The sequence below is a fragment of the Homo sapiens genome, chromosome 12 (assembly GCF_000001405.40).
Source record: "Homo sapiens chromosome 12, GRCh38.p14 Primary Assembly".
Taxonomy (NCBI): Eukaryota; Metazoa; Chordata; class Mammalia; order Primates; family Hominidae; genus Homo; species Homo sapiens.
Genome location: NC_000012.12, coordinates 53,441,733 through 53,463,738, shown reverse-complemented (window position 1 = coordinate 53,463,738; position 22,006 = coordinate 53,441,733). Strand labels below are relative to the sequence as shown.

The following is a 22,006-nucleotide window of genomic DNA, read 5'->3' as shown; positions in this document are numbered from 1 at the left end:
CAAAATCAGTCACTATTTCAACCTGAATCCCAATGCAGTTGTCCCTAGGTGTCCCTACGTTATTGGTGGGAGATTAGTCCTAGGATTCCCCCCATAGAAACAAATATCCATGGATATTCAAGTCTTTTACATAAAATGGTATAGTACTTGCATATAACCTAAGCATATCCTCCCACATATTTTAATCATCTCTAGGTTACTTATAATACCTAATACAATGTAAATACTATGTAAATACTTGTTATACTCTATTGTTTAATGACAAAACAAAGCCTGTACATGTTCAGTACAGATACAACCACCCATTTTTTTCCCTGAATACTTTTGATCTGAGGTAGGTTGAAGGTGGAACCCACAAAGGGCCAACTGTATTTTAAAACCTGATCTACCTACTCCTCAAATACAATCAGAGCATAGGACTACCATGGTCCTTCAATGCTTCTGTCATAATAATCTAACTTCAGAATAGTCCACGTGCCAAAGATCAAGAGTTTAGGTTGATGAGGAAGGAGCAGAGAGGCCACGGTGGTGCTTTGGTGTTCTTACTCTAACACCAAAGGTCACGGCACCACAGCCCAACATGCTCACCCCCCTTCTATTCTTGCACACTGAACTCTTACCCCAGCTGATTTCAGTTATGCCATGTGGGTTCAAACCAGTGTTTATGAGGTTAAGAGCCTAGGGGACAACACACTGGAGTTTGGGAGTGAAGGGGTAGGAGTAGGGGAGGTGAGGTGGAGGGAAGGGGAAGTTTGTAGGACACTCAAATTCAGGACCCCCAAATTTTGAGACCACCATCCAGAATCTCCTTCAGAGGTCCAACTCTTTGCTACCTTTTATTTAGACCTCTAAATATCACCCCACACACATAAAACATGGATGGGGTGGGGACAGGGAGAGAAGTAGAGACAGTAAGTCAATTCAACTCTTATATTCTAACCCAACCCACAAGTAAGTTACCTCTTCCGAGTGCCTACAAAACTTCCATTGCCTGCTAAAAATTAAGGCATTCAGCTTTCTCCAGTACAAAAATAAAACTAAAAGCCGGTCAAACTATGGCCAGAGTATAGGTTTCAGCAAGCATGCAGAGTGGCTTGGTGTGATGCTGGCAAAGTTGACATTTCAAATATAATCTCTGTTCATTCTAGCCCACAAATGAGAATTTTCTTACCTGACCACCTGCAAAGATGACCGGAGAGCTGGACGGCTTGGGCCGGTACGGGATGGTCACGCCCTTCGGGGGGGACTGGGAGAGAGTCAGAGGGGAAAAAAACAAAAAGAGATAAGGTTTCAAAGCTGCTTCAGCTGTGTGGCTTTAGCTCACACAGGTCAGTTAAATTAAAAACTATTTCCATCCCCTTACCTACCAAATTGTCTCTGGCTAGATCTAATCTCAATTTATCTACTGAAAGTTATTTGCCTTTAATGCAGTAAGTCCAAGGACTACACAATTCAAACTGATTCTCATCAAGGGAGATGTCCATGTAATAATCTTCGGCACTATTTCCAAAATTTTAGATAAATTTAATGGACATGAAAAACTGTTAAACGTATATTTTTGTTGATAATTTTTAGTATCTCACATTTTTTTGGCCTGAATAGGAAATAAGGTCAAAACTGCAAATAAAGTACTCAAGTGTTATGTCTAGAATAATACAGACACTATCTATAAATAGTTCAAAGGCTCAATCAAGGTTTTTCTAATCTCTACTTGAAAATTCCAGTTTCCAGGTTGGGTGCATCGGCTCATGCTGGTAATACCAGTACTTTGGAAGGCTGAGGCGGGTGGATGGCTTGAGCTCAGGAGTTCAAGACCAGCCTGGGCAACATGGCAAAATCCCGTCTCTACAAAAAATAAAAAAAATTAGCCAGGTGTGGTGGCGCATGCCTGTAGACCAAGCTACTGGGGAGACAGGTGAGAGGATCGCTTAAGCCTGATAGGCAGAGGTTGCAGTGAGCCGATACTGCACCACTGCACTCCAGTCTGGGTGACAAAGTGAACCCGTCACACACACACACACACGAAAAAATTCGTTTCATTTCTCACCAATGAAACCAACTCCATATCACAAATCTGAAAAGGCTTAATTTTCCTGAATTTTGCTATTCTTTTAATAGAATAATAGTGTATAATCAGGACCTTGTAAGTCATTCGGAAACATCATCATACATACATTTTTCTACTCTATGTAACACTTTGAATACCCTCCTACAAAGTGACAAGTTGTTAAAGAACATGTCAAATTTCCATGTAACCAAAATACAGTAATTCAAAAAGTAATTTAACTCAGCTACTCAGGAACTCAAATAAATCTCTGGCCTCCTTAGTCCATGCAGTGCATCTTCTCCCCGACTCTGCTACAACTGCTGTGAACCAAAAGATCACTGCTGCTTAGCAGTTTCTATTTTTGCTCACAGACCATAAGAAAAGTCAAAGCTAGGGGAAGGAAAATATGAACTCAGGGAACCTTTTAGCCCCACCCCCACTGGAAGCCTTAACAGCCTCACTTAATTCTAGTCTTACTAAATATAGATCAGTCCCTCTGTCCCCAGAATGGCCCTCCCCCCATTTTCAGCATGAGCCTGAGGGCTTACCTCCAACATGACCACGCAGATCTGTTTGACACACTCAATGATGGATTGTGGAATGCCAGCAATAGTGATGGCCCGCTCAGTTGAGTTGGGTAGCATATCCCCTGCCACCTGGACCTGAGCCCCTGTACTCTTTGGAGTAAAAAGAAATTCAAAATCAGAGAAAAACAGTTCATGCTCTTCCAATTCCTCCAGCAGCAATTTCAGAGCCTAAAACTCTAGTAGATATTTATCCATTTCCAATCTTCCCTTTTTGTTCTTTGTCCCACTCTTCCCTTATTCCAGATAGGACTGTTTAGTGAATTAGAGTTAAAAATAAATTAGCCACTGAAAGACAAGAATAAGCGTGAATAACAGCCTAAATTTAACCTACTCTCAAGCAAAAGGTCCTTCTAAATAGTTGCCTTTCAACTAATGATAGTTCTCTGGGCGAAGCAAAAGCCCCACAAGTATCACCCACCTTTCATTATGTTACTGAAAAAATATTTACATCAAGGCCATTCTATGTGCCAGGTACCATGAGAAGTGCTTCGAATATAGCAATTAACAAAATTAAGATCTCTGTCGTGCCATGTACGATACGCTCCCAAAAACTCAAGCAGCCATTCGAGTTTCATTCCAACACCAAATTCAGTAACATCTAGATACAATTAAAATCTTCCATAATTCAACGTAACTTCCATAGTTAAACAGGAAGTAGGGGCCAGGCACAGTGGCTCACATCTGTAATCCGAGCACTTTGGGAGACCAAGGCAGTCGAATCATCGGAAGCTCAGGAGTTGGAGACCAGCCTGAGCAAAACAGTGAGACTCGTCTCTACAACAACAGAAAGAAGAAAAATTAGCCGGGCATTGTGGAGCGCGCCTATGGTACCAGGTACTCAGGAGGCTTGAGGTAGGAGGGTTACATGAGCCCAGAAGTCGAGGTTGCAGTAAGCCATGATCACGATTATGCCCTGCACTTCAGCCTGAGTGAGACCCTGTCTCAAAAAAAAAAAAAAAGATGTAGAATTACATCTATTTCCCAATACATCTTCCTATTTTTCTCCTTGTTGTTTATAAGTCTGGTCAAGAAAAATGACGCTGCAGGCAAGCAAGTGTGCTGGCTCAAGCCTGTAGTAATAACACTGGGAGCCTGAGGTGGGTGGATTGCTTGAGCTCAGGAGTTCGAAACCAGCCTGGGCCACATGGCAAAACACCATTTTTACAAAAAAATACAAAAATTTGGGTGTGGTGGTGGGAGCCTGCAGTCCCGGCTCCTTGGGAGGCTGAGATGAGAGGATCGCCTGAGGCTGGGAAGGTCGATGTTTTGCTGCAGTGAGCCATGACTGCGCCACTGCACTCCAGCCTGGGGAGACAGAGTGAGACCGTGTCAAAAAAAAGAAAAAAAGTTAAAAATTAAAAAATAGAAAAACCGTTGCTACTATAGCAAACTCATCCCTTGAGACATGAAAAAGAACTATGTAGCCTCATGGAAAAGTTGCCAAAAAAAAATAGAAACTTGTCATATGTAATAGTTGAAAATTCTGATTAACATTCTCATGTTCTGATTTATTAAAATTTATGAATTATGCAAAATAATTCTATTGCATGAGTTTTATTTTCAGTACAATCACATTGTAATCCTCTAGAACTGTTACTTCAATAAAAATCTTCATCTCATTGCTAACTTTTCCTAGCCATACAAAGAGCCAATTTGGAACAAATAGTTAACATTTCTAAAAGGACGACAAAAGTCACTAACCTCTCGTATTTCCTTGATCTTGCATCCACCTTTTCCAATGAGAGAGCCACACTGACTAGCAGGGACCACCAGCCTCAGGGTGACCGGGGGTCTACTGGCAGCTGTGCTATTGGTCATAGAGCTGCTTATGTCCTACAGAAAGAAAGAACACCACAATAAGCAGATCCCTGGAAACTAGTAACTGCCATTAAAGAACCACTTACCCTTATTAGGGTAAGTGATCTTATTAGGACATGCGAGGTCATAATCCACCATAGACAAAAGGTTCAAATACCATGCCCCTCTCAAACTATTTTTGATGTAAAGATAAAAGCTCATGAAAAATTCCTCAAAATTAGCCATAAATATATTTTCCTTCACCCTGAAGGAATGTACTTGCTAAGGATAAAAGTAATAATCTGTTTTGCAGTTACACTTGGCCAGGCAATGGGGAAAAAAGATGATGTCAAAATTAAATCAAATACTGCCAGGCACGGTAGCTCAAGCTTGTAATCCCAGCACTTTGGGAAGCTGAAGCAGGTGAATCATTTCAGGTCAGGGAGTTCAAGACCAGCCTGGCCAACATAGTGAGACCCCGTCTCCACTAAAAATACAAAAATTAGCTAAGCATGGTGGCTGGCACCTGTAATCCCAGCTACTCAGGATGCTGATGCGGGAGAATCGCTTGAACCCAGGAGGCAAAGTTGCAGTGAGCCAAGATCGTGCCACTGCACTCCAGCCTAGGCAACAGAGTGAGACTATCTCAAAAAAAAAAAAAAAATTAAGTCAAATCGAATATTAAGAAAAAATATAAAACAGACCGGGCACGGCGGCTCATGCCTGTAATCCCAGTACTTTGGGAGGCCGAGGCAGGTGGATCACCTGAGGTCAGCAGTTCAAGACCAGCCTGGCCAACATGGTGAAACCCCATCTCTACAAAAACACAAAAACTAGCTGGGTGTGGTGGCATGCGCCTGTAGTCCAGGCTACTCTCGGGAGACTGAGGCAGGAGAATCGCTTGAATCCGGGAGGAAGAGGTTGCTGTGAGCTGAGATTGCACCACTGCACTCCAGCCTAGGGAACAGAATGAGACTCCATCTCAAAACAAAACAAAACAAAAACAAAAACAAAAACGAAAGATATAAAACAATGCAACCCTATTTACATCAATTCTACCCTGTTAGAAAACTAAAAACAGGCGGGGCACGGTGGCTCAGGCCTGTATTCCCAGCACTTTGGGAGGCCAAAGCAGGTGGATCACTGAGGTCAGGAGTCCGAGACCAGCCTGGCCAACATGGTGAAGCCCCGTCTCTACTAAAAATACAAAAATTAGCCAGGCATGGTGGTAGGCGCCTATAATCCCAGCTACTGGGGAGGCCGAGGCAGGAGAATCGCTTGAACCCGGGAGTCAGAGGTTACGGTGAGCCGGGAACCCACCACTGCACTCCAGCCTGGGCGACAAGGAGGAAACTCCGTCTCAAAACAAACAAAAAAAACAAACCTATAGATTTGACTGTATTGATTCAAAGCCTATAGTCTTTCCCATAAACACGTGCTGCATCCAAAATCATGGTTTTAATCTAGTTAAATTTAGCCTTCTGAAGATTAAGCGGTTTAAATATCACTTATTAGCCTAATCTCTAGGCTGATAACTAGAGACCTGGAAACTGCTTAAGCACTTAAGACCCCTAAAGACAAGGACATGTTTATTCCTTGGTTAAGGAATAAACAGTTTGTACTCTAGCTTTCTTTCAAAAAAATAAAATTTAATAAAATAAAGGCCACGCATGGTGGCTTCTGCCTGTAATCCCAGCACTTTGGGAGGCTGAGACAGGAGGATTGCTTGAGCCCAAGAGTTCAAGACGAGCCTAGGCAACACAGGAAGACTCAGTCTCTACAAAACCCATGAAAACTAGCCAGACATGGTGGTTCAAGCCTGTGGTCCCACCTACTGGGTAGGCTTAGGTGGGAAGATGAGGCTGCAGTGAGCCATGGTAACACAACTGTACTTCAGCCTCGGTAACAGAGCAAGACCCTGTCTCAAAAAATAAAAAAATAAAAAAATAAATTCCAGGCTGGGCATGGTGGCTCACGCCTGTAATCCCAACACTTTGGGAGGCGAAACAGGAGGACCACTTGAGGTCAGGAGTTTGAGACCAGCCTGGGAAACATAACAAGCTCCCATCTCTACAAGAAAACGTTTTTAAAAAATTATCCAGGCAGGGTGGCATGCACCTGTAGCCCCAGCTACTCAGGAAGCTAAGGCAGAAGGATCACTTGAGCCTGGGAGGATGCAGAGAGCTACAGGTATATCACTGCACTCTAGCCTGGGTGACAGAGCACAACCCTGCCTCAAAAGAAAAAAAAAAGTTAAATACTATGATGTATAAAAAAGAACTAGTTCAAGTTCATTCTAGTTAAAAGAATAAAACGTGTTTTCTAAGCCATGAGTTCTGGACTTCCAGAATCCCGGGGGTCAAAAGGTAACATTTCTAATCTTGGCAAAGATAAGATTTCATGCACCATTAAGTACCAACCACCAAGGAAGCAGCACTCCTCTGCCTGTGATATCAATTGCCCAACTGATGCATTAATGCAGAAGGGAGAGAGGGAGGGACTGAATACAAGACCCAGGACAACAGTTCAGCCTCTGAAGGTTGGTGGGGGAAAAACTTACTCTTGATAAAACCTCCGGTGTATTTTCCTTCTGATAACCTAGGTCTCTCCCCAACAAATGTAATTTTGACACAATGTTAGCAGATTGACTTTTTAACCTAAAATCATCAGGATTGGAAGATTATTTGTGTTTATAACGTCAGGTAAACCATATTAGTTTGGTATATACTCAAGCCTTTTACCAAAGCAATGGCATACTTTCAACAGATGCTTTTCACGCAAATTATTTATATTAAGTCCATGGCAAAACTCAAACTGTTTTGATGATTCAAGTGACTTTTTTTTTTTTTTGAGACAGAGTCTCACTCTGTTGCCCAGGCTGGAGTGCAGTGGTGTGATCTCGGCTCACCACAACCTCCGCCTCCCGGGTTCAAGCGTTTCTCCTATCTCAGCCTCCTGAGTAGCTGGGATTACAGGCGCACACCACCATGCCCAGCTAATTCTTGTATTTTTAGTAGAGACGAGGTTTCACTATGTTGGTCTCGAACTCCTGACCTCGTTTATCTGCCCGCCTCAGCCTCCCAAAAGTGCTGGGACTACAGCCATGAGCCACCACGCCCAGCCTCAAGTGACTCTTTTTTAAACTACAAATGCTCGAATTTTGTGGGAGGCTACAGGAAGCTAAGGACCCATTTACAGCGAGTCTCAAGGTCCAGTGTGTCCTTGAATTTAAAAAGCTCTTAGAAAATCAACAAGCTCTCTGGAAGCACTTAAAAATGAAGAATGAGGGAGTGGGAGACAACAAACCTCTTCCAGTTTGTCAATGATCATAGCAAAGGCTTTGAAGATGGCATTAGTGGGTCCAGCCAAAGTGATAATTCTCTCAGGACAATTCCCTTCTGAGATGTTGATACGTGCACCACTCTAGATAGGAAACAAGATCCAAAAGAAGTTAAAACAAAGAAGATCTGAGTATGTACAGGATCTACAGTCCCTTATAAGACTGCCAATGTACATGATCCTGATGCAAAGCAAAGTCAGCATCATTCCAAACACTACTGCTCCATGACTATCCTCAAAGATAGCCTACAGCAGCTGCCTTAAGTCTTGAAAGAATTCTGACTTGTCAAAACCACACTTCCCAAAAAGGGGAAAAAAAAAATACACTCCCCAGATTATCACTACAAATAACCAAGCCGAAAAAAAATACATATTTCCCTTATTGAGACCTTCCTAATTTCTGAAAAAGAATTTTCACTTGTTTTAAAGGTTTTTTACTTCCCAAAGTTAACAATCTCAGTCTTTCATAACTTACCTCCTCGCGCATCTTCTTAACTGATTCTCCTTTCTGTAAAGGAAAAGTCAAGCATGAGCTCCAACTGCTACTTCAATCCAGAATTACTAAATGGTAATTGAAGTTGAAGTGAAATTGTCTTACCTTTCCGATGATACTGCCAACTTCCTGCAATGGAGAAAACTAACGTCAGTAAGAGGAAACTCAGAAGTATTCCTTTTTAAAAATATATTTTATTTTTCCTTTTTCTACATGTTCTAATGAAGTATTCATTATGAAAAGGAATTTTAACTGTCTAGCCAACAGACTGCTATCTATGCTAATTATTACCCCAAAAGATTGGAAAGATTTGAAGATTTATTGGGGGGAGTGGACTTGCTATAAGCAATCACCATGAGAAAAACCTTACCATCCAGGTATGGAGAGTTTTTGGCTCCAGCCTCTAATTATGCCTTTCCTGCTCAGTGGAGCTTCCTAGTCAAGTCTGTCCATTTTCCCACTACACTCACTTCTACTCCATTAGGGAAATGTGCTAAAGCCAGATGCCCCACAGTGCTAATCTGATGAGCTCCAAGATGCATGTCTGCTCTTCCTGGCCCCTCCCCTAGCAGTTACTATGACCCCATTTCCCAAGCTAGAGCATACCTTTCCATGCATAAGTAGCCGGATGGTGAGAGTGACATTTAATCCACCTTCAATCACACCGGTGTCCATGTCGAGCAGTGTTCTGGGGAGCTGGACTTTGAGTGGTCAAGTCTTTGGTCACTGGTTGGGGGTGAAAGCCAAAAACTAAAATGCAAACATGACCAAAATCAGAGGAGGAAAACAACAAGGTTATTATTTCCCAAGTTATTTTCACCTTATCAATATTTTCTACTTTACACTTTTCCTTAAATGACAGTATGTCAGACTTATATACACACCAAGCACAACTGCATGACAAAATATACAGCTCAGGTTCTGTTACACAGTATAGAAGGCAACTTTCCAGTTCCTCTCATTAATGACAGGGTTTCCGCTGACTCTCAGGATGAACAAGGTTCTTTCAATTGGCAATGGTTCTAAGGAAACTGCTGAACGTGCACCACTTGTCCTTCAGCAGAAAAAGCTTCAAAGAATTCAGAAACACCTGGAAATCATGAGTGCAAATCTCCAACTACAGCGAGGGCAAATGACCTTTTGTTTCCCTGCTGGGGAGCAGTTTAAGTTGAAAACTAGAGAGAACACATGTAAATTTTCTTTGTAGTAGCAATTTGTAGATAAGGAAATTGAGATGTATCCCACATTACAAATTTCAACCGTTGATGGCTAACACCAAATGATTTCTAAAAGATTTAGATCAACACCCTCACTGAAAAGGCATTATCTGAGATGCCTTCCACGCAGGCTGGGGTTCCATATTCCCCTTTAGAAAATGACTCGATACATTAAGTACACTTGAGTCTTTTTCTCCTATTCCTCCTTCCAACCCAACTTGTTACTCAGATTTGAGATGTTTTCCTTGCTTTTGTGTTTACCATCCAGTTTTTATTTCAAGTCTATTAAATCTTAAATTTCCTTCCAAAGAAAACAATCAAAATAAAACTGGCATTGCTAAAATTTTTTGTTTTTAAGAACAGCAGCAAATGCACCTTTCCTATACAAGATGGCCCTTTTCCCACCTATGAAACAATTCCTAACATTGTTCCTAACATTTCTGCTTTAGAGTAACTAGTTATGTGTAGAAAGAAAATTTGTTTTTTTGGATATGCCTTTGCCTTCAATACCTCCTTTAGCACCTAATCGTAACAGCTTTAGAAAGGACCTCTCCCAAGTTGTAGAATGTCCCCAATGACATTTTAAGTATCCATCCTTTTAAAACTCAACATGTCATCTCTCTCCTCCCACAGCTAGATTTCCTCCTTCACAAAACCAGCCACTGTGTTAACTTTCCTCTAACACAAAGCCCATACCCTAAATATCTTAGGTGCTTAAGTGTCTGTCACACCATTCTGTATATGGCAAACTGTCCTCTGGCTACTCCAAGAATGTAAGTGATTATATAAGTGCATCCCCAAAGCACATCATTTCCCCATTTTCAGAATACAATTAATTGCTGGCAAAATCCCAGAATTCAACACTTTTCACTCATGGAAAAATAGTGCTTGGTGGGGGAAGAAGCGTTAGGTCTGTAAGAATGACTTTCTTTTTTTAATAAGATGTGGTAAAGACCTGGTAGTTTAATTCCTTACCCTCTTGCAGATGTAATAGGAAGCCCTTTACAAATATCACAATAACGCAACTTCGAAAAGGCAAAAAAAAAAAAAACAAAACAGGAAACCTATTTGAAGCCATTTCTTGAGGTAAAGTACAAAGATGCATTTCTAACTCCAAACCAAGTAATCCAAGAAATTTGTCGAATTTCCCTCCTGACTAGGTCAAGATAAAGGTACCCCATTCCAGCAATCCAGCTGCTAACACTGCTGTCCAATACCCCTTCCATAAATAGCTCGGTCTGGGATTACATCGGCAGGCATTTTGTAATTTAAAAATTCGTTACCCCGAGAAACGTCCTGATTAACTCGGCAACTGGGAGCCCGTCTACCCTTTCTTTAACTCCGCAGCCCCCTCTCCCCTCGGTTATCCAAGCATTTTCCACTTAAGAAAAAAAGCCCCCCCTTCCCTCGACTAGAAAGAGGGGGGAAAAAATAAACGGTTCGGTCGGGGGGGGGCGCTGCGATACAGGGGGAGGGGCCGGACTAATAGCGCCTCCCCGTGTGGCTGCGCCAGCGCCTGACCCCCGCGGGGAGCCGCGCTCACCCGCCCGGCCAGCAAGCCGGCCATCGCCTCCCCCAACCCCCCACAACCAACAAATCCACCGCCGCCCCCCCTACCGCGCGCGCGCCCTCCCTGACTCCTGCGCAGCCGCCACCGGGAAAAGGCGGGGGGAGGGGGGAATAGGCCTTGCGCGAGGCCTACTAGGCCGCGCCAGAGCCAGGGCCTCGCGTGAATGACCGGCCTGGCACAGTGAGGTGGTAGGCGCTCACGCGGGACTACGCGAGACCGCGGCTCGTGACTAGGACCCGAGCCGGCTAAGAAGAAGACAAAAGTGGAAATTGTAGCCATAGCCGGGGGCGCAAGGGAAATTTTTAGGCTTACCTGCAGGCGCGAGGCGACTGAGGGGAAAAGGGGAGCGGGCGGGAAGGGGAAGGGCGGGAGGCCGGGGGCGGAACAATAGGGGCGGGCGGGAAGGCGAGGGGGGCCCCGCGGGCGGGCGGAGGAGGAAGGGGGGGTGGAGGAGGAGGAGGAGGAAGGGGGAAAGAGACCCCGGGGCGGGTGGAGGGCGGCGGAGGGCGGGCGGGCGGGCGGAGGGCGGGCGGGCGGGAGAGGGCGCAGGCTGCGGCTGCTCCGGCTGCTGCCTCTGCTGGTCTGGGAGGGGGACGGGGCGGAGCGGCCTGCTTTCAACCCCGCGCACCCTTCGACCCCGGAAGCGCTAACCACCCCGGGGGCCGGCGAGGCGATTGCGTCGTCCAAGCCTTCCCCACGCAATGCAGACGGCCTCCCAAAAGCCTAGAGCGGCTCCTTTGACAGCGTAGGCACCAGCGAGACAACGGCTGCTAGCAAGCGACGAATTGCGATAGAGAGGGAGCGTGGGGGCAGAAAGGAAACCAGTGGCCCCTAGTGGACTGGCTGGAAAGTTCAGATGTTAGTGCGGAGAGGGAGCAGTCGCCATGCATCAAGAAGTGGAGAGGAGGAAAAAGGGATGGGTGGAAAGAGAAAGGATGAAGATAGTAATCTACAGGGATACTCAAAAAAGAAAAGGAAAAAAACTAACTTGCCACGTTAGAGGTGACCATTGTATAAACTCCTTACTCTTAAAAGGAAAGAATTAAGCATTTAACTTTCCTTTTAGGAAGAACTGTATATAGTTCATCTGTAATTGATAAGGGAAAGCTCTTTTTTAAAGAGTTCCATGTAATAAATCTAGAAGGAATGAAAGAAATAAAAGGAATGAGAGTTGAAAAGTCACCATTTTGCAACCCAGAATGAAATAATTGATTCAGGCAAGTGTATCAATCATTAAAATTTTGAGAAAGGTTGTTAGGGAACGGGATACTATCATGACACCAAATATCAAATATCACCACACAGATTTGCAAATATATATATATATATATATATATATATATATATATATATATATGTAATTTTTTTTTTAAGTAACTTCAAATGGGCCAGGGGTAGTGGCTCACGTCTATAATTCCAACACTTTGGGAGGCTGAGGCAGGCAGATCGCTTGAGCTCAGGAGTTTAAGATACCATCTCTACTAAAAATACAAATATTAGCTGGCGTGGTGGCACATGCCTGTGGTCCTAGCTATTTAGGAGGCTGAGGTGGATGGATCACTTAAGCCCTAGTGGTCCAGGCTACAGTGAGCCATGATGACGGCCACTGCACTGTAGCCTGTCTCAAAAATAACAAATTTTTTTTTGAGACGGAGTTTTGCTCTTGTTGCCCAGGCTGGAGTCCAATGGCATAATCTCGGCCCACCACAACCTCAGCCTCCTGGGTTCAAGCGATTCTCCTGCCTCAGCCTCCCGAGTAGCAAAAATAACAAATTTTTTAAAAGCAACTTCAAATGGAGAGATCTAGCAGTTACCACCTTACCCAAGTACATAAATGATCAAACTGCATCACTCATAGTAGGACAACTTTGCACCGTGTGGTCCTTGGAAAAATGCAACAAGTACACCACATCATCTATTAAATATTCTTGCCAAAAGTGCTTAATCTTAATCTAATCAAGTCATTAGATCTGATTTGCAATTTATAGGAAATTTAATACAACACAAGGAGATATTTTGCAAACCCACAACATTCCACAAGACAGCTAGCTGGTCTTGTCAAAAAAGCAATGGAAAAAAAAAAAAGAAAAAAATTGGCCAGGTGCAGTGGCTCACACCTGTAATCCCAGTAATTTGGGAGGCCGAGGCGGACGGATTACTTGAGGTCAGGAGCTCAAGACCAGCCTGACCAACATGGAGAAACCCCACCTCTACTAAAAATGCAAAATTAGCCAGGCGTGGTGGCGCATGCCTGTAATCCCAGCTACTCGGGAGGCTGAGGCAGAAAAATCACTTGAGCCCAGGAGGCGGAGTTTACGGTAAGCCAAGACTGCGCCACTGCACTCCAGCGTGGGCAACAAGAACAAAACACCGTCTCAAAAAAAAAAAAAAAAAATTAGTTGAACATGGTAGTATGCATCTGTAGTCCCAGCTACTCAAGAGGCTAAGGCGAGAGGATCACTTGAGCCGAGGAATTCAAGGCTGCAGTGAGTTATGATGGCACCACTGCACTCCAGCCTGGGTGACAGAGCAAGACCCATCTCTTAGTTAGTAAATAAAACAAAAGCAGGAATTTAAAAATGCTTAAGGCAATAACAACCAAATATAATGTGTGGCTTTTGCTTGGATCCTGGGTTTCTTTTTTTTTCTTTTTTTTTTGAGACGGAGTCTCACTCTGTTGCCTCGGCTGGAGTACAGTGGCGCAGTATCAGCTCACTGCTACCTCCGCCTCCCGAGTTCAAGTGATTCTCCTGCCTCAGCCTCCTGAGTAGCTGGGATTACAGTCACCTGCCACCACGCCCGGCTAATTTTTTGTATTTTTAGTAGAGACGGGGTTTCACCATGTTGGCCAGGCTGGTCTCAAATTCCTAACCTCGTGATCCGCCTGCCTCAGCCTCCCAAAGCGCTGGGATTACAGGCGTGAGCCACGGTGCCCGGCCTGGTTCCTAGTTTAAAAAAAAAAGTTGCTGCATAAGACATTTAAGGGACAAGTGAGAAAATTCAAACATTAGCTGGGCGCGGTGGCTCACGCCTATAATCCCAGCACTTTGGGAGGCCGAGGCACATGGATCACGAGGTCAGGAGATCGAGACCATCCTGGCCAACATCATGAAACCCCATCTCTACTAAAAATACAAAAATTAGCCAGGCATGGTGGTGCACGCCGGTAGTTCCAGCTACTCGGGAGGCTGAAGCGGGAGAATCGCTTGAACCTGGGAGGCGGAGGTTGCAGTGAGCCGAGATCACATCACTGCACTCCAGCCTGGTGACAGAGTAAGACTCCGTCTCAAAAAAAAAAAAAAAGAAAAGAAAAGAAAATTCAAACATTATCTGAATGATGATATTAGGAAGTATTTGTAATTTTCTTAAGTGTAATAATGGAACCATGCTTATGTAAAGAAATGGTTTTTAGGATGTACATGATGAAATATTTAAGTATGGCCAGGTGCGGTGGCTCTCCCCTGTAATCCCAGCACTTTGGAGGCCGAGGCAGGCGGATCACAAGGTCAAGATATTGAGATCATCCTGGCCAACATGGTGAAACCCAGTCTCTACTAAAAATATAAAACTTAGCTGGGTGTGGTGGTGTGTGCCTGTAGTCCCAGCTACTTGGGAGGCTGAGGCAGGAGAATTGCTTGAACCTGGGAGGCAGAGGTTGCAGTGAGCTGAGATCATGCCACTGCACTCCAGCCTGGCAACAGAGAGAGACCCCGTCTTAAAAAAAAAAAAAAATACAAAAGTTAGCCAGGTATGGTGGTGCACACCTGTTGTCTCAGCTACTAGGGATGCTAAGGTGGGGGGATCACTTGAACCTGAAAGGTCAAGGCTGCAGTGAGCTGTGAGTGTGCTACTACACTCCAGCCTGGGCAACAAAGCAAGACCTTGTCTCAAAGAAACAAACAATCAAAAATAAAAAAAACAGAGGGATGGCTAGGCATGGTGGTGCACGCCTGTAATCCCGCACTTTTGGAGGCAGAGCAAGGTAGGAGGATCACTTGAAACCAGGAGTTCGAGAGCAGCCTAGGGAACACAGTGAGACCCTGTCCCTACAAAAAATTAAAAATTAGCCATGTGTGGTGGTGCACACCTATAGTACTAACTACTTGGGAGGCTGAGGTGGGAGGAGCACTTGAACCAGGGAGATCAAGGCTGCAGTGAGCCTTGAACATGCCACTGCATGCTAACCCCTTGACTCTCAGTCACGTTTTATTGGGCAGCCCCAAATTGATGGAGTCATCTAAAGAGAGGTAGCTTCCTCAAGTGGAAAATTAGGCTTGAGGACAAAAATTCCTTTCCTCCCACCCCCCAAATTGTATTAGGAACAATGTGAAATAGAAAGAAAGAGCCAGGCACAGTGGTTCACTCCTGTAATCCCAACACTTTGGGAGACCGAGGCAGGCGGATTGAGGTCAGGAGTTCAAGACCAGCCTGGCCAACATGGCGAAACCCCATCTCTACTAAAAATACAAAAATTAGCTGGGTGTGGTGGCACGTGCCTGTAGTCCCAGCTACTCGGGAGGCTGAGGCAGAATCGCTTGAATCCAGGAGGTGGAGGTTGTGGTGAGCCGAGATCACGCCATTGCACTCCAGCCTGGACAACAAGAGCAAAACTCACCCACCTCGGCTTCCTAAAGTGCTGGGATTACAGGTGTGAGCCACTGCACCCGGCCATGGATTTTCTAATTAAATTAGAAGCTAGCTGTAAAATATAAAACCTCAGGCATTTATTTCATAGAACTCTTTCCAGGGAAAGCTATAGATGCAGTATAGCCAACTCAAAACACTCCTTCTTCCCTGTTCCTCCTCAAGCCTTACACTCAGTGCCCAAACCCATGGGTTCCACCTCAGAAACATCTCTTAAGTCCACTCCTTCCTCTAGCCCCATGTCCCCAACTGCAGCCTCATTTCCCGCTTTCAGGAACTCAGGTTCAGGAGCTCCTAACTTTCATCGTACACTTTTTACAACTTGGTGCCTTTGTAATACTGCTGCTTCTGCCTGGAAGCCACTGGGTTAAGAGCACAGACTCAGAAGCCGGACTGTCTGAGCTCCAATTCTGACTGAACGTCTGCCTCACAGATTGAGATGGAGTGTAATGGCGCAATCATAACCTCCACCCGCCAGGTTCAAGCCATTCTCCTGCCTCAGCCTCCTGAGTAGCTGGGATTACAGGCATGTGCCACCACGCCTGGCTCATTCTGTATTTTTAGTAGAGACGAGGTTTCTCCATGTTGGCCAGGCTGGTCTCCAACTCCTGGCCTCATGTGATCTGCCTGCCTTGGCCTCCCAAAGTGCTGGGATTACAGGCGTGAGCCACCATGCCTGGCCCACAGTTTCTTAAATATACTGATTTGTAGGGACACATCTAAAAAGTCTTAGCCGAGTGCGGTTGCTCACGCCTGTAATCCCAGCGCTTTGGGAGGCTGAGGCAGGTGGATCACCTGAGGTCAGGAGTTTGAGACCAGCCTGACTGACCAACATGGTGAAACCCTGTCTCTACTACAAATACAAAATTAGCCGGGCATGGTGGCAGGTGCCTGTAGTCCCAGCTACTTGAGAGGCTGACGCAGGAGAATCGCTTGAACCTGGTGGGTGGAGGTTATGATTGCGCCATTGCACTCCAACCTGGGCAATAAGAGCGAAACTCCATCTCAAAATAAGTAAATACATAAATAAAAATAAAAAGTTTTAGGAAAAAATTTAAAAAAAAATAAAAATAAGTATTATTCAGTAGATTTGGGGCAAAGCCCCAAATTACTCTCTCACAGCTGATGGGCAGCCAGGGTTAAGAATCTCTGTAGCAGATATGAAAACATATAAGCTAAAGGCCTATATCCATTCACCCAAGGGAAGACAATAAAGATTCATGCCACTCTGCCTGAGCCAATTTTGAAGAGTCCTCCCACTTAAAAAACATGGGAATCATACAGTGTCTTTCTCACTGATGCTCTGGTTCCCTTCTATGAAACTGATACACTTTAAAGGGTCTGTGGAAGGTTAGCAAAAGTAGTAGAATGTGCCATGCCCAGCCAAGGTGATAGCACAGGTGAGCTGAGACCAGGAGAAATAACTTTATTTGAATAGGACCCAAGACAGCATATTGGGCTAAGGAGGAGAGGTAAGGTTCCAAAACCGCAGTCAAAGCTCATCAACCAAATGGACTCTACTTCCCAGCAACCTTGCAGTTAGTGCAACCAACAAAAGGCCTGCTGGGGAATGTATTTGCCACTAAATTCCCCAAGTATGCCAACATTACAAAAAAGATAGGTTTTTCATCATAATTGAATTTCCACAAACCTCCCCAATCACAAGTATTATAAGTGGAAGTAAAAAATCACATTTTACAGATCTCAAACTTGTCTTCAACATTTAGTTCATCATCTTCAAAAAATAGCTCCCCTGCCTAATTCATTAGCTATATGATCTAACCAAGCAGCAACAAGATGGCCAGGCCATGGCAATCCTCTTCCCATTTCCCCTAGCCACTCAGGGCTCAACAGCAGGGTGAGGCTCAGGTGGAGGTAGGGGGTGGGGAGCACAAGGGCTACATTCCCCCAGTACAACATGGCATCTGAAGCTTGATGGGAGAGCAGAACTGGTGAGACTTGAGGGAAGGGTCCAGGGCCTGTATTCAGTCAGAATCACTGCTGGAAGAGGAGGAGGAAGAGGAGGAATGCTGCAAGGGGAAAGGGGAAAGGGGAAAGAAGATAGCATCAGATCCAAATGACCTTTCATCACTCCGTGGGCCATTCTTTGGTGCCCCACCCCTCCACCCAAGTATCCCTTGCTTCCCTAAGAAGGTCAGGAGTCTTGAACAGACTGTACCTAAACAAAAGCAAGGGTTTCCTTCAGCAGTGAGCATACAGGAATGGATTAAACCATCCTAAATTATCACACGGAATTTAAAAAATTTAACATATTGCCTTTGGAGCAAATTTCCAACTTTCTTTACCTGAATCGATGCCTAGGCAAGGAATAAATTACAGGCACAAGCATAGTATAGTGCTAGGAAACAGCTGTTACCTTTTCAATGCTTATTCATTAGCTGCGTGCAAAGTCCTATGATTTTAAGAAATTGGATTCTACAAATCTAAGAAAAGACAGTAGAAACAGCAGTTGTATGTGCATGTATCTCTACTTTTTCCCAAGCACAATGGGAAAAAGTGGGGAAGGTGTAAGAAAAGGCTGGGAGTTCTATTCAAGGTTCCTTAAGCATATACTCCCAGCAATGCTAGTTATTAAATAAAAACATTTTTCAGTCTCTCCAGGGTAATTTCTCCCGCTTTTCCCCACTAAATCTCAATTCTCTTCGGTTCTCTTCAGACCTTTTTTTTTTTTTTTTTTAGACGGAGTTTCACCCAGTTGCCCAGGCTGGAGTGCAATGGCATGATCTTAGCTCACTGCAACCTCCACTTCCTGGGTTTAAGAGATTCTCCTGCCTTAGCCTCCAGAGTAGCTGGGATTACAGACACGCACCACCATGCCCAGCTAATTTTTTGTATCTTTAGTAGACAGGTTTCACCATGTTGGCTAGGCTGGTCTTGAACTCCTGACCTCGTGATCCGCCCGCCCCGGAATCCCAAAGTGCTGGGATTACAGGTGTGGACCACGGCGCACAGCCTTCTCTTCAGATTTCTATCAAAGACCCAGAATCAGGAATTAGAATCCACAAGGCAAATAAATACTGGGCAGTTAAATGTAAATGGAGGCCTCATCAAGATGCAGATTGGTTTAATCCTTCCAGAGTTGTCCTCAGAGTTGCTTTTATCCTTGCTATTTTTTGTTTGTTTGTTTGAGATGGAGTCTTATCTGTCACCGAGGCTGGAGTGCAGTGGTGAGATCTGGGCTCACTGCCATCTCTGCCTCCCGGGTTCAAGCAATTCTCCTGCCTCAGCCTCCTGAGTAGCTGGGATTACAGGCATGCGCCACCACACCCAGCTAATAATTCCCAAGTGCTAGGATTACAGGCATGAGCCATGGCACCTGGCCACCCTTACCAATTTTTAACACTCCTCTAAAACAAAGATACTTAGCCTTGGAGCTGAGTATAAAACCTCCTTAGGGCTGGGTGCAGTGGCTCACGCCTGTAATCCCAGCACTTTGGGAGGCCAAGGCGGGCGGATCACAAGGTCAGGAGATCGAGACCATCTTGGCTAACACGGTGAAACCCCATCTCTACTAAAAATACAAAGAATTAGCCGGGCGCGGTGGCGGGCGCCTGTAGTCCCAGCTACTCGGGAGGCTGAGGCAGGAGAATGGCGTGAACCTGGGAGGCGGAGCTTGCAGTGAGCCGAGATTGTGCCACTGCAATCTGGCCTGGGCTAAAGAGCGGGACTCCGTCTCAAAAAAAAAAAAAAAAAACCTCCTTAGTCCTAGGCTTTGTTAGAAGCCTAGTCACTGACTGCTCTTGTCCTCACTTTTTCTGCTGGATGATAGGGCAAAGGACCCATGTAATTAACACAACGCCCTAAGAACACTGATGAAAGAGAGAAGGAACTTCTGGAACTAGGGACAGATTAATTCTGTTAATTATTATAAGACCTTGCTTTGTCAAAGGAATGACTTTGGTATTTTGACAATGTCAGTGGGCGTGTCCAACTTGCTAGAATATGCACCTGGCGGGAGGGGAGCAAAAGTTCTGGGAGAGTAGGGCAGAAAAGATTTGGCTTTTGATTCTAAAATCCATTCTAAGGCTCACCCTAACTCCCCCCAGATAGGAGAAGCCTGATGTTTATTTTCAAGATAATCAGATTCTTCCCAGTAGCAATCTTTTATAAAAAGGAAGAATCATCTACCAGAGCGACACAATTGTCATCCCTCACGTCCACAGAATGTGAATCCCCCTCACCCAACCCCTGCCTACCTAGTCCCTCTGAGGGGGGACTCCTTCCCTAGCCAGTCTCCAGAGGGTACTGACCTTGCCATGCTTGTGGTACTTGTGGTGCTTTTGGTGCTTGTGCATCTTTTTATGAGCTTTCTTCATTTTCTTCTGCATCTTCTTGTCTACTATCACTGCTGGTCCAACCATGCCAGGAGCCAAGGGATTCACAGGAGGGATTCCAGGGGCAGGCGGTGGGTATGGAGGAGGGTAGGGACCCAACGGTTGGCATCCTGGATACCCTGGCTGTGGCACAGGATGAGGGGGCCCACCTGGGGGGAAAGCTGGATTGCCATGGGGAGCTCCTGGGGGAGGAGGACAGGGGCCTGGGGGAAAGGGTGGATTAATAGGTGGTGGGTGGGCAGGATTGGAACCTCCAGGGCACCCAATATTGGGGGGATATGGATTTGGCCCTGGCTGCCCTGGTGGAAGAAGCAGAGAATAAACATTAGAATTCCCCAGAGTCTCCAACAACAAACAACAAAAAGAAAGAGATTCTTTCTCACTCAATACTTAAAGGGAAACGGAAAGATGACAAAGAAGAATGGAGGGTAGGGGAGACAAACTTGAGTTGGGGAGAAAAGGGGGAATGTCCCTGGAAGGGCTAGGGAGAGGAGGGAGACAGTGAACTCTGAGGAAGACAAAAGCACTGGTCAGTCCAGGCGCGGTGGCTCACGCCTGTAATCCCAGCACTTTGGGAGGCCGAGGTGGACAGATCTCATGAGGCCATGAGTTTGAGACCAGCCTGGCCAAATTGTGAAACCCCCATCTCTACTAAAAATACAAAAAGTAGCCGGGCGTGATAGCATGCGTCTGTAATCTCAGCTACTCCAGAGGCTGAAACAGGAGAATCGCTTGAACCCAGGAGGCGGAGGTTGCAGTGAGCCTGGGCAACAGAGACTCCATCTCAAAAAATAAATAAATTAAATTAAATTAAAAAGCACTGGTCAGCTCTAGACTAAGGACTTTGCTTTTGCGGGTACAGCAGGTCGGGGGTAGGGGAGCTGATACAGAAACTTCCTGTTATAGAGCCCATCAGAAAAAGGGTTAGGGGTGGAACAGAACCCCCAAACACCTACCGGCATTGGGATTCCACATGTTTAGGTGTGTCCTCCAGCCTGAGGAGAAAGAAATGAGGCAAAAAAGATGACGGTCTAGAGGTAGGAAGTGGACTTAGCACCGGAGCCCAGCCCTAACGTCTTCCACCCCACAGTAGGCTCTCCTACCTGGAGAACTACCACAACTTCCACATAAGAAATGTCTCTTTTCTGGCTGGGCGCGGTGGCTCACGCCTGTAATCCCAGCACTTTGGGAGGCCGAGGCGGGTGGATCACGAGGTCAAGAGTTCGAGACCAGCCTGGCCAACATCGTGAAACCCCGTCTCTACTAAAAATCTAAAAATTAGCCGGGCGCGGTGGCGGGCACCTGTAATCCCAGTTATTCGGGAGGCTGAGTCAGGAAAATTGCTTGAACCCGGGAGGCAGAGGTTGCAGTGAGCCGAGACCGCGCCACTGCACTCTAGCCTGGGCGACGGAGCAAGACACCGTCTCAAAAAGAAAAGAAAAGAAAAGAAATGTCTCTTTCCACTTGTTTCTTCGCCCTCAATACCTACTTGGTTCCTAACACAGGAATCTAGTTCCCAGGGCCCCTCCACCCAGGTGGAAGCGTCTAACTCTTCGGAAGTAGGCAGTACCCGCGAGTCTCGGCCCCACCATCACTCATCTCCCTTTCCCTGGAACTGAGTACGGAGGCCTTTAACCACGCACAGAGTAAGAAAGGATCTCAAACAACTTTCTCTCTCCCTGGGGAGGACCCCACCTCAGGCTAAAAAAAGGATACGCCTCGAGGCGAAGTAAGAAGGAAGTTGCCCAAGAACCTCAAATACTTAAATATGTGGACACAGCCCCCTTCCTCCAAAAAAGAAAAAAGGCAAATGAAGATCCTAGCCCCAAGCTGCGAAGAGACTCTTGACCTAGCAAGGGGAAAAGGAAAAACCTATGGAATCCAGATACCCCATCACCTTTCCACCGCCGCCTGGGCTTGCTGCGTTCTCCTTCGCAGTCTCGGCTCTTCCTAGTCA

The 22,006-nt window shown here is 45.4% G+C and overlaps 2 protein-coding genes across 9 annotated transcripts in view, besides 4 other annotated features; both read right to left on the bottom strand.

The window, feature by feature from the left end:
* The window catches only part of PCBP2 (poly(rC) binding protein 2), a 29,061-nt gene extending 17,424 nt beyond the window's left edge, over positions 1-11,637 (bottom strand). For 4 of the 7 annotated variants that reach the window (NM_031989.5, NM_001128912.2, NM_001098620.3 and 1 more), the window contains exons 1-8: positions 11,363-11,637; positions 8,870-9,013; positions 8,369-8,392; positions 8,246-8,278; positions 7,738-7,854; positions 4,336-4,467; positions 2,596-2,724; positions 1,172-1,246 (exon numbers count right to left, since the gene is read on the bottom strand). In NM_031989.5, coding sequence (NP_114366.1) covers positions 1,172-1,246; positions 2,596-2,724; positions 4,336-4,467; positions 7,738-7,854; positions 8,246-8,278; positions 8,369-8,392; positions 8,870-8,938 — 579 coding nt within the window. In that variant the 5' untranslated portion in view covers positions 8,939-9,013; positions 11,363-11,637. Of the gene's footprint in view, positions 1-1,171; positions 1,259-2,595; positions 2,725-4,335; positions 4,468-7,737; positions 7,855-8,245; positions 8,279-8,368; positions 8,393-8,869; positions 9,014-11,362 lie in introns of all 7 variants that reach the window. The other 3 variants (NM_005016.6, NM_001128911.2, NM_001128913.2) reach the window with 1 other exon arrangement.
* Positions 10,906-11,155: a silencer, noted in NCBI's record as "silent region_4513". NCBI's record gives its function as "represses an Ori minimal core promoter by ATAC-STARR-seq in GM12878 lymphoblastoid cells {active_cell/tissue: GM12878}" and the evidence as "EXISTENCE:reporter gene assay evidence [ECO:0000049][PMID:35858748]".
* Positions 11,176-11,305: a silencer, noted in NCBI's record as "silent region_4512". NCBI's record gives its function as "represses an Ori minimal core promoter by ATAC-STARR-seq in GM12878 lymphoblastoid cells {active_cell/tissue: GM12878}" and the evidence as "EXISTENCE:reporter gene assay evidence [ECO:0000049][PMID:35858748]".
* Positions 11,526-11,625: a silencer, noted in NCBI's record as "silent region_4511". NCBI's record gives its function as "represses an Ori minimal core promoter by ATAC-STARR-seq in GM12878 lymphoblastoid cells {active_cell/tissue: GM12878}" and the evidence as "EXISTENCE:reporter gene assay evidence [ECO:0000049][PMID:35858748]".
* Positions 11,806-11,905: an enhancer, noted in NCBI's record as "active region_6422". NCBI's record gives its function as "activates an Ori minimal core promoter by ATAC-STARR-seq in GM12878 lymphoblastoid cells {active_cell/tissue: GM12878}" and the evidence as "EXISTENCE:reporter gene assay evidence [ECO:0000049][PMID:35858748]".
* PRR13 (proline rich 13) lies at positions 17,101-22,005 on the bottom strand. Of its 2 annotated transcripts, none has more exons than NM_018457.4 (4): positions 21,947-22,005; positions 21,006-21,044; positions 19,966-20,348; positions 17,101-17,724 (listed from the first exon to the last, which is right to left on the bottom strand). In NM_018457.4, exons 2-4 carry the CDS (start codon positions 21,022-21,024, stop codon positions 17,680-17,682), a joined length of 447 nt encoding a protein of 148 aa, NP_060927.1. In that variant the 5' UTR covers positions 21,025-21,044; positions 21,947-22,005; the 3' UTR covers positions 17,101-17,679. The 2 variants fall into 2 exon arrangements, with proteins under 2 accessions (NP_060927.1, NP_001005354.1); NM_001005354.3 differs by having other exon boundaries at positions 19,966-20,198.